The sequence below is a fragment of the Homo sapiens genome, chromosome 11 (genome assembly GCF_000001405.40).
Source record: "Homo sapiens chromosome 11, GRCh38.p14 Primary Assembly".
NCBI classification, from domain to species: Eukaryota; Metazoa; Chordata; class Mammalia; order Primates; family Hominidae; genus Homo; species Homo sapiens.
This window is the reverse complement of record NC_000011.10, coordinates 71,390,344-71,404,705: the sequence shown is the minus strand read 5'-3', so window position 1 is coordinate 71,404,705 and position 14,362 is coordinate 71,390,344. Positions and strand designations below refer to the sequence as shown.

The following is a 14,362-nucleotide window of genomic DNA, read 5'->3' as shown; positions in this document are numbered from 1 at the left end:
ACGCCCCTTCCAAGGCTTAAGTCTGGCAGCCAAGATGGCAGTGAGACCCCTCGTAGGAGGACTTGTGAGAACAGAGAGGCAGGATGAAGGCATTGCCCAAAGTCATTGGGTTGCTTCCAAGTAGAGCAGCCGCTCTGACCCACAGGCCTCCTGACGAAAGGACACCAGGCCCAGCACTGTCCATCTTTTTATCTCAAACAGCAACTTCGAACTGGAGAAAACATTGTTCCTTCTGCACACCCATGACTTTGTCCCTCCCCCACCGCCTACCCACCACACTTAGATGTGGGTGGCTGAGAAACGTTCGAGGAGGTGGCAGCAGTGACAATCCCTCCTACCATGATGTCAGCTTATGAAATGCATTCCTGCTGGTGGGCTTAATTGACTTGATCCTCCAGCAGCGCCATGGCGAGGTGTGAGGAAGAGAGGTCATTGTTCCCACTGGACAGGGAAGAAGATAGAGGCTCAGAGAAGAAGATGGAGGCTCAGAGAAGGAGATGGAGGCTCTGAGAGGGAGATGGAGGCTCCGAGAAGGAGATGGAGGCTCAGAGAAGGAAATGGAGGCTCAGAGAAGGAGATGGAGGCTCAGAGAGGGAGATGGAGGCTCTGAGAGGGATATGGAGTCTCTGAGAGGGAGATGGAAGCTCAGAGAAGAAGATGGAGGCTCAGAGACGGAGATGGAGTCTCCGAGAGGGAGATGGAGGCTCAGAGAAGAAGATGGAGGCTCAGAGAAGGAGATGGAGGCTCCGAGAAGAAGATGGAGGCTCAGAGAGGGAGATGGAGGCTCAGAGAGGGAGATGGAGGCTCAGAGAAGGAGATGGAGGCTCAGAGAGGGAGATGGAGGCTCAGAGAAGAAGATGGAGGCTCAGAGAAGGAGATGGAGGCTCAGAGAAGGAGATAGAGGCCCAGAGAAGAAGATGGAGGCCCAGAGAAGGAGATGGAGGCTCTGAGAAGGAGACGGAGGCTCCGAGAAGGAGACGGAGGCTCTGAGAAGGAGACGGAGGCTCAGAGAGGGAGACAGAGGCTCAGAGAAGAAGATGGAGGCTCAGAGAAGGAGATGGAGGCTCCAAGAAGGAGATGGAGGCTCAGAGAAGAAGATGGAGGCTCAGAGAAGGAGATGGAGGCTCCAAGAAGGAGATGGAGGCTCAGAGAAGAAGATGGAGGCTCAGAGAAGAGATGGAGCCTCCAAGAAGGAGATGGAGGCTCAGAGAAGAAGATGGAGGCTCAGAGAAGGGACACGACTTTCCCCAGGTCTCATAGCTGGTGATTCTCATCCCAAATCCAAACCTCTTCTGCTGAAGAGACAAACTCCTAAGATAGAAAAGCTCTGAGCAGGTGAGCTGTGGCTGCCTGGAGAAGGGGCCTCACTCTGAAATCACTGCTCCATTGCATCTCTGCACCATTGCACTCTTGCACCCGGCATCATGGCACTGTTGAGCCACTGCACCATGGCATGGTTGTTCCACCACATGCACCATTGCACCATGGCACCATGACATCATTGCACCATGGCACTATAACGTCACTGCACCGTGGCACCACGAGGTCACTGCAGCATGGCACCATTATGTTACTGCAGCACAGCAACACGACGTCGTTGCAGCACAGCACCATGGCGTCATCGTAGCATGGCACCATTATGTCACTGCAGCATGGCACCATGACGTCATTGCACCGTGGCACCATGACGTCACTGCACCATGGCACTATAACGTCACTGCACCATGGCACCATGGCCTCATTGCAGCACGGCACCATTATGTCACTGCAGCATGGCACCATGATGTCATTGCACCGTGGCACCATGACGTCACTGCACTGTGGCACCATGGCCTCATTGCAGCATGGCACCATTAAGTCACTGTGGCACAGCACCATTGCACTGAGGCCATCCTTCCTACCTGCTTCTCCCAGCCAATGACTGAGGATGGCAGTGACACCAAGGCAAGTCAAGCCCATTTTTGGGAAACCCAGCACTCCTGTGATAAATGAGCCTGGCTCAAGAACTCTCCAACAACCTTGCAAAGGTTCCATTCCCTTAGACGGCATGGTGGCTAAGGTCACCCACCCAATCTGCTTCCCTGTTCCCTGCACCCAGGCTCAGACTTGGACAGCAGCCTGTTGTCTCTTCGATCTTTGTCCTGCTGTCTCCCCACTGTCCCCAATGTGTGCGTATTCCCTAATCACATTCTTGCACCTTTCATTCCATCCTGGTGTCTGTTTCTCAGTGGACCCAGATGAACACATGGGCCATCAAGTAAAATCACCTCTGAATGATGGAACAGATGGCTTAATCTGCCATGAAAGTAGCCAGGTTTATCTTCCTAAAAAAATAACAGAAGTTGAATTACATCACAGACCCTTTCCCGGTCAACCTTCCGAAGCAAATGTGGAAGCAGTGACAATCCCTCCTACCACGATGTCAGCTTATGAAATGCATTCCTGCCGGTGGGCTTAATTGACTTGATCCTCTAGCAGCACCGTGGCATTCCTGGTGCATCTCCCCTCACCTCTCCTTCCTCAGCAGCCTCTCTCCTTGCTGTCCCATTTCCTCATCTACGAAGTGGACAGGACAAATATCCTAGGAATGACTCCTCGGGCACACTCTTACCTTGCAGGTACTTTGCTAAAACCTCTTAGTGGCCATTTCTGAAATAGCTCACAGGGCTCGGGGAGGTCGTGGATGCCCGTGCTGTGGCTTGGAGTCTCCCACGAAGGCCACTGTGGCCTCCCAGCCACTGCTCACTGGGTCTCCACAAATGAAAGCCAGCTGCAGGGGAGTCCAACCCCAGTCACCCCTAGAAGCTGATCTGTCCTGGCCTGTGTCTTTCAGAATGTATTGGTGGGGATGGAAGAGGAAGACTGGTTCATTGGAGAGGAGGTTCAGAAAAAATGAGGGAAACTCAACCTGCAATACCCCATTTCTCGGGCAATAACAACCAACTGGGACAACATGGAGAAGGTGGGTACAGCTTCTGCCAGGCAGGACGTGTTCATAGGCCTCCCTAGCTAGGTCCAGCTATGAGACAGAGGTGCAGGCCTTCCTAACACAGACCCTGCTGTGAGGGCTGAGGGAGATGATGGATAAAAAGTCCTCAGTCCTGGCCAGGCACAGTGGCTCATGCCTGTAATTCCAGCACTTTTGGAGGCCGAGGCAGGTGGACAGCTTGAGTGCAGGAGTTTGAGTCCAACCTGGGAAACATAGTGAGAATCCATGTCTACAAAAAATTAAAAAATAATCTGGCTGTGGTGGTGTGCCACTGTGGTCCCAGCTACTGGGGAGGCTGAGGTGGGAGGATTGCTTGAGCCTGGGAGGTGGAGGCTGCAGTGAGCTCCAATTGTGTCCTTGTGCTCCAGCCTGGGCAACAGAAGGAGACCCTGTCTCAAAGCAGACAAACAAATGGCAAAAAAGTCTTCAGTCCCAAACACTAAGAAGTGGTAAGTATGGTGAACTTGCAGCTCCCTCACTTAGTAACTGAAGTTCTGGCTAGGACCTCCATGTGCATTTGGACAGGCCGTGCACTGCCTTAGAGGATGTACCTGTTAGTTACTGTGTCCCTGTCCCAGCCACAGACGAGGCAGCTTCAATAGCAGGAATTCATTACCTCACCATCCTGGAGGCTGGAAGTCCAAGGTCAAGGTGTGGGCCGAGCTGGTTCCTTGCAGGGCCGTGCCGGAGCCTGTGTCCTGGGCCTCTCCCCTGGTGGCTGTCAGTCTTTGGCTCCCCTTGGCTCACAGATGTGTCACCCCGATGTCTGCCTTCAGGTTCACGTGGCATTGTCTGTGTCTGTGTCCACATTTTCTCCTTCCTATGGGATTGGGGACCCAGCCTCCTCTTAAGTGATGGCATCTGCAACAACCCTGTTTCCAAATAAGGTCCCATTCAGACGTACGGGGGCTAAGACTTCAAAATATGAATTTTGGGGCGACACAATTCAACTGATCACAATGTTCTAATGCTGCCTTCACACATTAGCCCCAAATGCAGAGGCTCAAAATGCCAATGGTCATCACTCTCAGTTTTGTGGGTCAGGAATCTGGGAGTGACTCCTCAGGCTGGTTCTGGCTCGGGGTCTCAAGTGGCTGCCACAGCTCAGGGGCTGTGTTGGCTGCAGGCTTGACTGGGGCTGGAGAAGCCCCTTCCAAGGCGGCAGTATCAGGTGGCCGTGGGGTGCTTCCTCTGCATGGGGGTCTCCCTCCAGGGCTGTTCAACTTCTTGCCAGCCTGGCGATTGGCTTCCCCCATGGGGAACTATGGAAAAGGCCAAGGTGGAGGCACCAGGCCACCGTGGCACAGCCCGGGCCGTCGCACTGTTACTTCTGCCACATTCTGTTGGTCACACAAGCCAGTCCTGATTCCATGTAGGAAAGGTCTGCACAGGGCGTGACTTCCAGGGCCTGAGGGCCATGGGGCCATCTTGGCAGGGGCAGTGGTAACACCGTTCACAAGTGTTTTTTCCTGCACAGCTGTGGCTGTGGCTCCCAATGTGACGGGAATGCAGAAACACGGGCCGTGTAGACAGGTCTTGGAGAGCACAGCTTCAGCTATGGGCCCCAGGGGTCCCCCGCCGTCTGCTGCCTTGTGGGGGGCTCACCTGCCTGAGGGAGCCCAAGGCTCTGGGTCCTGCATGGCTTCAGGGGTCCTGGCTCCTGGCTTCACCATCTTTCCTGAATTGCCAGCATCACACACTGACCCTCCTCTGTGCCCATGTCTCCCACCTCCTCCCTCTCATCACCCCGCCCTGTCTTCAGGAGACTCTTCCAAGCTCATGTCTGGCTGTGTCCCTTCCCTGCCTCAGGCTGGTCATCTAAGGATGGGCCACACCTGCAGCTGATGCCTGGCTCTTGCTCTTTCACAGGGATTGTGGCCTCATGCTTCCAGGTCCTGTGCCTGCCTGCAGGAGGCCGCCCCTCCACACTGCCCTCCCCCAGGGGCACGTCCCCCCACAGGGACAGGCAGCCGACTCACACCTGATAACCAACCATGGTGTACTGAGCCCCTACTGTACTGGGTGTGAGGGGCTGAATTGTGTCCCCCAACATTTACATGTGAAATCCTAGCCTCCAATGCCTCAGAGTGTGACTGTGCTTGGAGATAGCAGCTTTAAAGCGGCAACTAGGTTAAGAAGACATCATTAGGGTGGGCCCTAATCCAATGTGACTGGGGCCTTATCAGAAGAGGAAGTTGGATGCAGACACACAGTGGGGGACCCTGTGAGGACACAGCCAGAAGAAGACAGTGCCTGCAGGCCGAGGACAGAGGCCTTGGGAGGGACCAGCCCTGCGGCGCCTTCATCTGGGACTCCAGCCTCCAGAATGGGAGACGATGAGTGTCTGCGGTGCGAGGTGCCCTGTCTCTGGGGCTTTGTGATGGCAACCGTGGGACATGAATGCACCAGACTTCTCGGCGAGGCCACCATTTCACTGTCACACTCCTCTGTGAGGCAGGGAACATTTCCTGTTTTGAGGATGAGGAATGAGGTTCAACAGAATCAGGTTGCTTGTCCGGGGCTGGCCTGGTGTGCGGTGGAGCTTCCGTTCATACTGGGCTCACACCTGCACTCTCTCCCTATGCAGCATCCACCCGTCTGAGCCCCCAGTTTGTATCACACCCTTGAAGTCCTGGTGGTGGTATCCGACCACATCAGGCCACGAGATGCTCTAGCCAAGCTCTGGGCCTCACTGGTCTCAGCCCCACATCCTAGCCCCAGGCCTGGTGACCGAGTGGCGGTTCTGCATCTTGCTGAAGCCACGCTGTCTCCCTGATGCTCCCTCAGATCAGGATGACCTCTCTGTCACTCAGCCATCACAAGTGCTATTTACGATGCTGCTTTGACGGCTGGCTACAGTGGCTCACACCTGTTATCCCAGCACTTTGGGAGGCTGAGGTGGGTGGATAATCTGAGGTCAGGAGTTCAAGACCAGCCTGGCCAACATGGCAAAACCCTGTCTCAACTGAAAATACAAAAATTAGCTGGACGTGGTGGCATGCACCTGCAGTCCCAGCTACTTGGGAGGCTGAGGCAGGAGAATCACTTGAACCGGGGAGTTGGAGGTTGCAGTGAGCCGCCGAGATCGTGCCACTACACTCCAGCCTGGGCGACAGAGCGAGACTCTGTCTTGGAAAAATAGAAATAGTAAAATAAAAATAAAATACTGCTTTGTCAAACAAATAACATAAAATAAGATAACATAAAATAACAAAACCTAAAGCCTTGCCTGGTCCTGCAGCCATGCCCTGCCCCGTTTGCAGAAGTCTGGCCTTGGCCCCAGGAAGCTGCTGACTCTGTATCCCGTCTTCTCCCAGATTTGGCACCACTCCTTCTACCAGGTGCTCCACGTCGCCCCAGAGCAGTACCCCATGTTGGTGACGGAGCCGTCTTTGAACCCAACACCCAGCAAAGAGAAAGTCACACAGGTACCGGGGCCAGTGGTGGTGAGGGCCTCAGGGGGTCAGTATCTGGTCTCCCCTGAGCGAGGGGCAACCTCGGCCTCACCTGCTCCTTGCTCGGCAAGAGGAGGACGCTGGTCAGGGGACACCCCCTCGACACTCACGCCAAGCATGCCGGCCTCCGCCGGGGTGCTGGCCAGGGGCCGGACACTGCATACATGTGACTTCATGCAGGCCTCCCAACCAGCCATGGGGCAGAGGACCATCCTCCCCTTTGTACATATGAAGAGCCTGCGGCAGCAGGGAGCTTAAGCAATTTGGCTAAGGTCATGCGGAGTGTCGCTGGCGTGCTTGCCTAGACCCCAGTGGTCTCGCCCTGAAACTCCACTCTCAGCCACAATTCAGTTGTCCTAGATGCAGGTCTGACTCCGGCCTCTGATTCTGGTTTAAAAGCTCCTGGGTCTCTTCTCTGAGCTTCCTCTTGGGCCTGCCCACCAGGCAGGAGGCACTGGTGTGTGTTGACAGGGTGGCCCTGATGGGGCTGGGCAGTGGGGCCTGGCAGGGGCCCAGGCTGGAGAAGAGAGGAAGGTGTGGCACTCTCCTTAAGGCTGGGGTGGGGGCTGCTGGGCTGCCGCTGGCTACCATGTTCCCATCACATCATTAGCTGCTCCTAATGAGGACATTTGGTGAGCTCATTAAGCAAGCAGCACAGTTCCACCACCTGGCCCAGGGTCCCTGGAGCCCAGCGGTGTCTCCCGCAGTGAGCCGTGACCCACAGACAGACCCAGGGCTCAAGGCGCCACCTGCTCCCTGCAGAGGCACACACGGCGGCCCAGAAATGGCAGCTCTATCCATCACAGTGCAGGCATGAGCTGCCACCTCATTTGAGAAAAAGCCCTGAGCGGACCCTTGAGTCCTCCTCGGCTTGTGGAGAGGTGGATCACAGGAGTAGGCCACAGCTGGGCTGCCTGGTTGGGGCGCAGCAGGCTCCTACTTTCAGACTGTCGAGTGCCCGTGAGGCGGTGGGGAGCTGGAGAAGGAGTGGGGCGGCCCTCTCCACAGGGGACATCTCACTCCCCGGCGGGGGCAGCAAAGTTCTCTGGAGACACAGAAGAGTGGGATGAGCGTAGACACGGAGAGGGGTTCAGGATGAGGGCCTGGCTCACACAGTGACGGAGGCCGGCAAGTTCCAGGCTCTGCGGTTGGGAAGCTAGAGCCCCAGGAGGGCCCGTGCTGTGGCTCCAGTCTGGAGGCCGGCGGGGTCTAGACCCAGGAAGAGCCAATGTCCACTCCCAGTCTGAAGGCAGGAAAGGGTTGGTGTCTGGGTGCAGGCAGTTGGGCCGGAGGGGCTACCTCTTACTCTGTCCTTTTGATGGAATCAGGTCTGCAACTGATTGGATGAGGCCCACCCACATCCAGGAGGGCTGTCTGCTTTACGCATCCCCTGATCCACGTGTTGGTCTCACTCAGAGACACCCCACAGACACACGCTGAAGAACACCTGGCGAAACCCCAGGCGCCCCGCGGCTGGGTGCCGTTGGCCTGTGGGATGAGCCAGGGCTCCAGCCGTGCGGTTGGCATCCAGCCTGCCTCTGTGGCTTCCCACCTGCTGGGTGCACTGCCTGCCTTTCTGCCCTGGTCCTCTCCAAATTCACCCTCTAACTGTATCAGGGACCCAGCAGGAAGTCAAAGGTACACTCACATGGGGCATGTTTAGTGAGAGTGTCATAAAGAGATTATACACAAAGGTGAGCGTGAGTTTTAGAAAAAAGCCCCATGAGAGCGTGCGGTATCCAGGGGTGTCCCGGGGCAGCTGCTACCACCCCTAAGCCTGAAAGAGCAGTGGATGGTTATCAGTTCCCAGGGAGGGCTGTCGCCCAGGCGCTGTGGCCTTCAGAAGAGGGACCCAGCAGGGAGGGAGCTGGGACGTCAGCAAGCCCTCCCCTCCCCTCCCTGGATCTCCTTCTGGGGCCCTGTGGGCAGAACCTGATGGGTGACCCAAGAAAGAGGAGCCCAGGACAGACATCATGAGGAAGGCGGGGGCTTCTGCAGGCCACAGGCAACTGCTAGCCCACCCGCGTGGGGCTTCTCCTCACTGTGGGCAAAGGGATATTTCTACATCTGTGGGCCCTGCTTTGAACTCTCCATCCCGCACCCAGCCCCAGCAGGCCTCAAAAAATTCCCACAAAGACAAAAGCCAGCCTTGACTTCCGTGGGCCTGCTGTGGGGCCAGAAGGTTACAGAGCTCACATGGTCTTCACGGTCCTTCCCTATGGTCCGATTCCCATTTTACAGATGAGAAAACTGAGGCCTGGGACCAGCAAGTGATGGCATTTGTGGAATGCTCAGTATACACTAAGCACTGTGGCACGGGCTTTACGGGTGTTAACTCATGTTGTCCTCAGCACCATCCCCAGGGAGGTACCACTACTCTCCTTCTGATGAGGAAACTGAGGCATAGCGAGGAGCAGTTGTCTCCCAAGGTCACACATGCTGTAAGAGCCAGGCCTAGAACCCAGGGGTCCTGCTGCCAGGCCAGGCCCTTCCCTGAACTCTGGGCTGCTCCCAGTGTCCACACCCCAGTACTTCACACCCTGGGGCCACTGTGCACCTGTCCTAATCATCCTGAGCCAGGTACCAGACATCCACGGACAGCCCCCATACCCAGGAGCCCATCTGTAGGGAGTCTGCCATCTAATCCAAGTCTCCCCACAGTCCTAAGAGGTGGCTGGGATGGGTATGGGTCTATTTTACAGACTGGGAAACTGAGAGTGTCCCGGAGCTCATCGGAGCAAAGCTGGGATAAGGAGGAATGTGTTTCTGTGTCCATGGTCTGGGTCTCTCTTGGGTGGTGCAGGGAACCAAGTGCCTCTTGCAGGCGGTACTCATGTTGCCTGGGTAGTTAAGGAGAAGCCCACCTCATCTGCGGGCCTGGCTGCCAGGGGTGGCTGATGTTTCTCCCTAGGTGCTGTTTGAGATTTTCAACATACCTGCCCTGTATTTAGCTAACCGAGGAGTCCTTTCTCTGTACGCCTCTGGCCAGACCTTCGGTGAGTAGCCCTGTGGGAGCCCCATAGCCTCCGCCTCCCTCCGGCTGAGACGCTCACCACTGCGCGCAGCCCACTCCCTCCCTGACCAGTAACGAAAGACAAAGACCCACACAGCTCGCACTCTCCAGACCCTTTCATCCCTCCTGGTTAAATGATTCGCTCCCAGGTTTTAACAGTTTACTTTACTCACTTTTTTTTCTTAATAGCTTTCTCGAGGTGTAATTGATATACGATAAATTGCATGTGTTTAAAGTGTACAATTTGCTAAGTTTTGACACATGTGTCTACTCTTGAAGCCTTCAGAACCAAGATAATGAATGTATCTGTCACCCCTAATCTTTTCCCTGGCACCACACAGTCTGCCCCTCCAGTCTGTCCCCAGAGAGCCACCAGCTGCCTTGGAGTCTGCATTTTCTAGAATTTTGTATGAATGGACCAGAAGGTCAGCACTTTTTTGGGGTTTCTTTTTTTTTTTTTTTTCACACAGTGTAATTACTTGAAGATTTATTCTTGTGTGTGGGTTGAGAGTTCATGTCTTCTCATTGCTGGATAGTAGCCCATCTTATGAATACATTGTACTTTATCCACTTGTGAACGAATATTTGAGTTGTCGGTTTGGGGCTATTGTAAATAAAGCTGCTATGGGCCGGGTGCAGTGGCTCACGCCTGTAATCCCAGCACTTTGGGAGGCCGAGGTGGGCGGATCACGAGGTCAGGAGATCAAGGCCATCCTGGCTAACACGGTGAAATCCCGTCTATACTAAAAGTACAAAAGATTAGCCAGGTATGGTGGTGGGCACCTGTAGTCCCAGCGACTCAGGAGGCTGAGGCAGGAGAATGGCATGAACCTGGGAGGCAGAGCTTGCAGTGAGCCCAGATCATGCCACTGCACTCCAGCCTGGGTAACAGTGCAAGACTCCGTCTCAAAAAAAAAAAAAAAAAAAAAAAAAAAAAAAAAGCTGCTATGGGCATTTGTATACAGTATAAGTACTGTGTAAGTATTATTTGTCAATTAAAACAATAAAAGGAAAAAAAATCCTGGTATGATTTTTCCTCTTCTACCTTTTGGACCACTACTGTGAAACCTGCATGTGTGGTGTCATAAGAAAACTTGTGGGCCACCATCCACAACAGCCAGCCCTTTTGTTCCTTCTTGTGCACTCCCCTTTCGGGGAAGAAAGCTGGCTCCTGAGAATCTTTGTCTTCTCCTCTGTTAGCTCCCCTCTGCCTTCTCTCACTGCAGATATAACAATTGTAAGGGATGTCATTGGCTTTGCATTATGGTACCAGCATGTTCTCTTGTCTAGGCATGACTGTTGAATCTGGAGAAGGAATGACACACTTCGTGCCCATCGCTGATGGCTGTCCTTTGCATCAGTCAACCTTCCAGGTGGACATAGCGGGCCAGGACCTAACCTCGTACCTCCTGCAACTGTTGAAAGACAATGTGCAATTATTGGTGGGCACAGGTAGGAAATTGCTATTCTTGGCTGGGTAAACTAGTCTCTGGGGTATAATAGCCTTCTTTGCTAGCTCAACCTACAGCCCTCAGTGTGTAAAGCTAAGACTACTTAACCATCATTCAAGTTCTAAAAACAACTTTATTTATATTTAGGGACATTTAGTGGATTGATGATGATGATAAGGACAATGATAATGATGATAACGATTATGGTGGTGGCAATGACGGTGATAGTGATGGTGACCATGATGGTGATGACAGTGATGCTGATGATGGTGATGGTGATGGTCATATGGTGATTGGTGGTGATGGTGATGATGGTGGTGGTGATGGTGATGATGACAATGATGGTGATGGTGATGATGATGGTTATAGTAATGGTAACAATGATTGTGATGATGGTGGTGGTGGTAATGATGGTGATGGTGATGATAGTTATGATGACAGTTGTTAAGATGATGATGAGCTAAACTTTATAGAGAACTTATCCTGTAGAAAGCACCAGGCCAAGTAAACATTTCACATGCATTTTCTCATTGCTTCTCACTATAACCCTACGAGAGGGAACAATTATTTCCATTACAAGAGGAAGATGCAGCCAGGTGCAATGTCTCATATCTGTAATCCCAGCAATTTGGGAGGCTGGGGTGGGAGGATCACTTGAGCCTAGGAGTTTGCGATCAGCCTGGGCAACACGGCAAGACCCGGTCTCTACAAAAAGATTAAAAAATTAGCAGGGTGTGGTGATGAGCAACCTGTAGTCCCAGCTACTTAGGAGACTGAGGCAAGAGGACCACTTGAGCCCAGGAGTCAGAGGTTATAGTGAGCTCTGATGATACTACTGTATGCCAGCCTGGGTAACAGAGCAAAGCAACACCCTGTCTCTTAAAAAACTAATAATAACAGGAAGAGGCTCAGGAAGGCTATTAGAAGATTTGCCCAACATTCCATAAATGATAAATGGTATAGCAGCTGGGATATGAACCCAAGGCTCCAGGTAAGGTGCCTGTCCTTCTCTGCACCCAGTTCCTGGACTAGATTCCCAGCCTGTATAACCTGCATGACACCCATTCCCAGTGAGCCTACAATCTTGCATCCCAGGGTCTTCCTTGAAGACCAAGAGGTCTGTGTCAAAAGCGATGCAAAGCATGGAATCTTAAAGAATAACAGCAATTAGAGGGAAAGTGAGAAGGGTTGCAGGGCAAAGTCATAGCATGTTATTGATGCCTCACACCTGGTGAGCTCTTGGTGAGCATCGTTGCCTCTCGTCCTTCCAACAGTCCTGCGAATGATCATTTATCCCATTCTTGCAGATAAGGGAAGGGAAGGTTTAAGAGGTTAATGAAGTTTCCTAAAGCCAGGCATTGGGTCAATGGCAGAGATGGGATTTGAACCCAAATTTGCCTCATCAAAGCCCCAACTACATGAAGAAAGGAACAAATATCAGGAGAGTGCAGCATCCCAGAAGCCGAGGAAAGAAGGGAGTGATTAATAACCTCAGCTGCCGAGGGAAAGAGGTCAGGAAAGAACCAAAGAGTGTCCTCAGGTTTTTGGATCTAGGAGTACAGAACAGACCCAGGCAACAGCAGGTTAGGTGGAGCGAGTGAAGGTAGAAGGCAGACGTCAGGGTGCTGAAGAGCAAGTGACATTTCCAGGTGGGCGGTGCAGAGTTCCCCGATCCAACTCAAAAAGAGTGATAGAAAAAGTGTAAAACCATAAGCGAGAAGACACAGCTGGGTTTAAAGCCTGTTGTCAGCCATCCAAAAAGAGAAGGAGTGTATGTAACCTTCCAGATATTTCTGGGTGGGGATTTTGATCCACTGTGGGCAATTCTCCAGAGAAGAGGGCAGCTGTGAGCAGGCGGCAGCTGGGGGATGGGGCACCAACAGCACCGCTCATAGCAGTAGATAAGAAAGTCGGGTTTGCTTTTCCAGCTCCCCCCCACCCTCCCCCAAACATACACTGTATGTAGAAGGAGATCAACTTCTGAAACGCTGAAATTTCCTAATCCCTTTTATCTTAGTTCAAGACATACTTATTCTACTCTTCCACAAACTCAGGCTCAACACATGGCACAAACAAGAGTGCCAGGAGTGTGAAATGGAAATAGAAATGACAGCTCCAGTGGTGCAGCCTCAACCTCACCAAAGGTGCTTCTGTGAACTCATCTCATTTTCATGCCTTTTTCTGTTTGGCACTTTTCCTTTGTCCCACAGGGGATCGAGAGTACATCCGGGACATGAAGGAGAAATGCTGCTATGTGGCTTTGGACTTTGACAAGGAAAAGATGAAAACTGATTCACCTTCATGCCAACAGAAATATCAGCTGCCTGATGGCCAAGAGATCACCGTTGGGCAGGAGAGCTTCTTCTGCCCCGAGGTGCTCTTCTAGTCAAAACTCATAGGTGAATCCGCAGGAAGGGGACAGAAATTAGCCTGGACATGAGCAAGCGAACACCCTGTAAGGAAGAAGGGGCCAGGCATGGTGCCTCACGCCTGTAATCCCAGCACTTTCGGAAGCTGAGGCGGGTGGATCACCTGAGGTCAGGAGTTTGAGACCAGCCTGGCCAACATGGTGAAATCCCGTCTCTACTAAAAATACAAAAATTAGCCAGGCAGGGTGGCATATTGCCTGTAGTCCCAGCTACTCAGGAGGCTGAGGCAGGGGAATCGCTTGAACCTGGGAGGTGGGGGTTGCAGTGAGCCGAGATTGCACCACTGTGCTCCAGCCTGGGCAATAGAGCGAGACTCCATCTGAAAAAAAGAAGGACAGCAAGGAAGGAAGGAGGGAAGGAAGGAAGGAAGGAAGGAAGGAAGGAAGGAAGGAAGGAAGGAAGGAAGGGAAGTAGGGCTGCCAGGAGGGGGTGTGGTTTGAGTAGCAAACAGGCACACTGTTTCAAAAGCTCCTCTGACACCAGCTAACACTCACTAGGCACTTACAGTCTGCCTGTCACTTCACTGACCATTGCGAGTGTTATATCCTTGAATCCACCCCCAAATCCACCTCTGTAAAATTATCCCATTTTACAGAGAAGGAAACTCACCAAAAAGGTCTTCTCTTTCAAAATGTATTGTTTGTACTCTGCCTACTTACAAAATAATCTGAAATATAAATTTCAATACAATTTAAGACAGACATGTAATCACCCTGGATTTGGAGGGAGCTTTACAAATGTGGCTGATCTAGAGACTTTGAGTTAGCATGGAGCTGCCTAAACGCTTCAGCTGGTACATTTGTCCTGGTGGAACGGGAGAAATGACAGAGGGTGAAATCCCTACTGGTGGGGAAGATGGAATCTCCCTGGTCGACATGGAAAAGCAGGTGTTCCCCGGAGTCCAATTCTTCATTTGTTACCTTCATAAAGGACAACGGGGAATTAAGGGTGGGGAAGTAACCATTTCCCCAGGTTGAGGACTCAGTGAGTACCTGGCACTTAGAATCTTCTGTAAGTTAGTTGGT

The 14,362-nt window shown here is 52.7% G+C and overlaps 3 annotated features.

The window, feature by feature from the left end:
* Positions 1,672 to 2,172: an enhancer, noted in NCBI's record as "H3K4me1 hESC enhancer chr11:71113580-71114080 (GRCh37/hg19 assembly coordinates)". NCBI's record gives its function as "activates a minimal SCP1, AML or CMV promoter by ChIP-STARR-seq in naive H9 embryonic stem cells {active_cell/tissue: H9 hESC(naive)}" and the evidence as "EXISTENCE:reporter gene assay evidence [ECO:0000049][PMID:30033119]".
* Positions 4,238 to 5,081: an enhancer, noted in NCBI's record as "H3K4me1 hESC enhancer chr11:71110671-71111514 (GRCh37/hg19 assembly coordinates)". NCBI's record gives its function as "activates a minimal SCP1, AML or CMV promoter by ChIP-STARR-seq in naive H9 embryonic stem cells {active_cell/tissue: H9 hESC(naive)}" and the evidence as "EXISTENCE:reporter gene assay evidence [ECO:0000049][PMID:30033119]".
* Positions 7,463 to 8,164: an enhancer, noted in NCBI's record as "H3K4me1 hESC enhancer chr11:71107588-71108289 (GRCh37/hg19 assembly coordinates)". NCBI's record gives its function as "activates a minimal SCP1, AML or CMV promoter by ChIP-STARR-seq in primed H9 embryonic stem cells {active_cell/tissue: H9 hESC(primed)}" and the evidence as "EXISTENCE:reporter gene assay evidence [ECO:0000049][PMID:30033119]".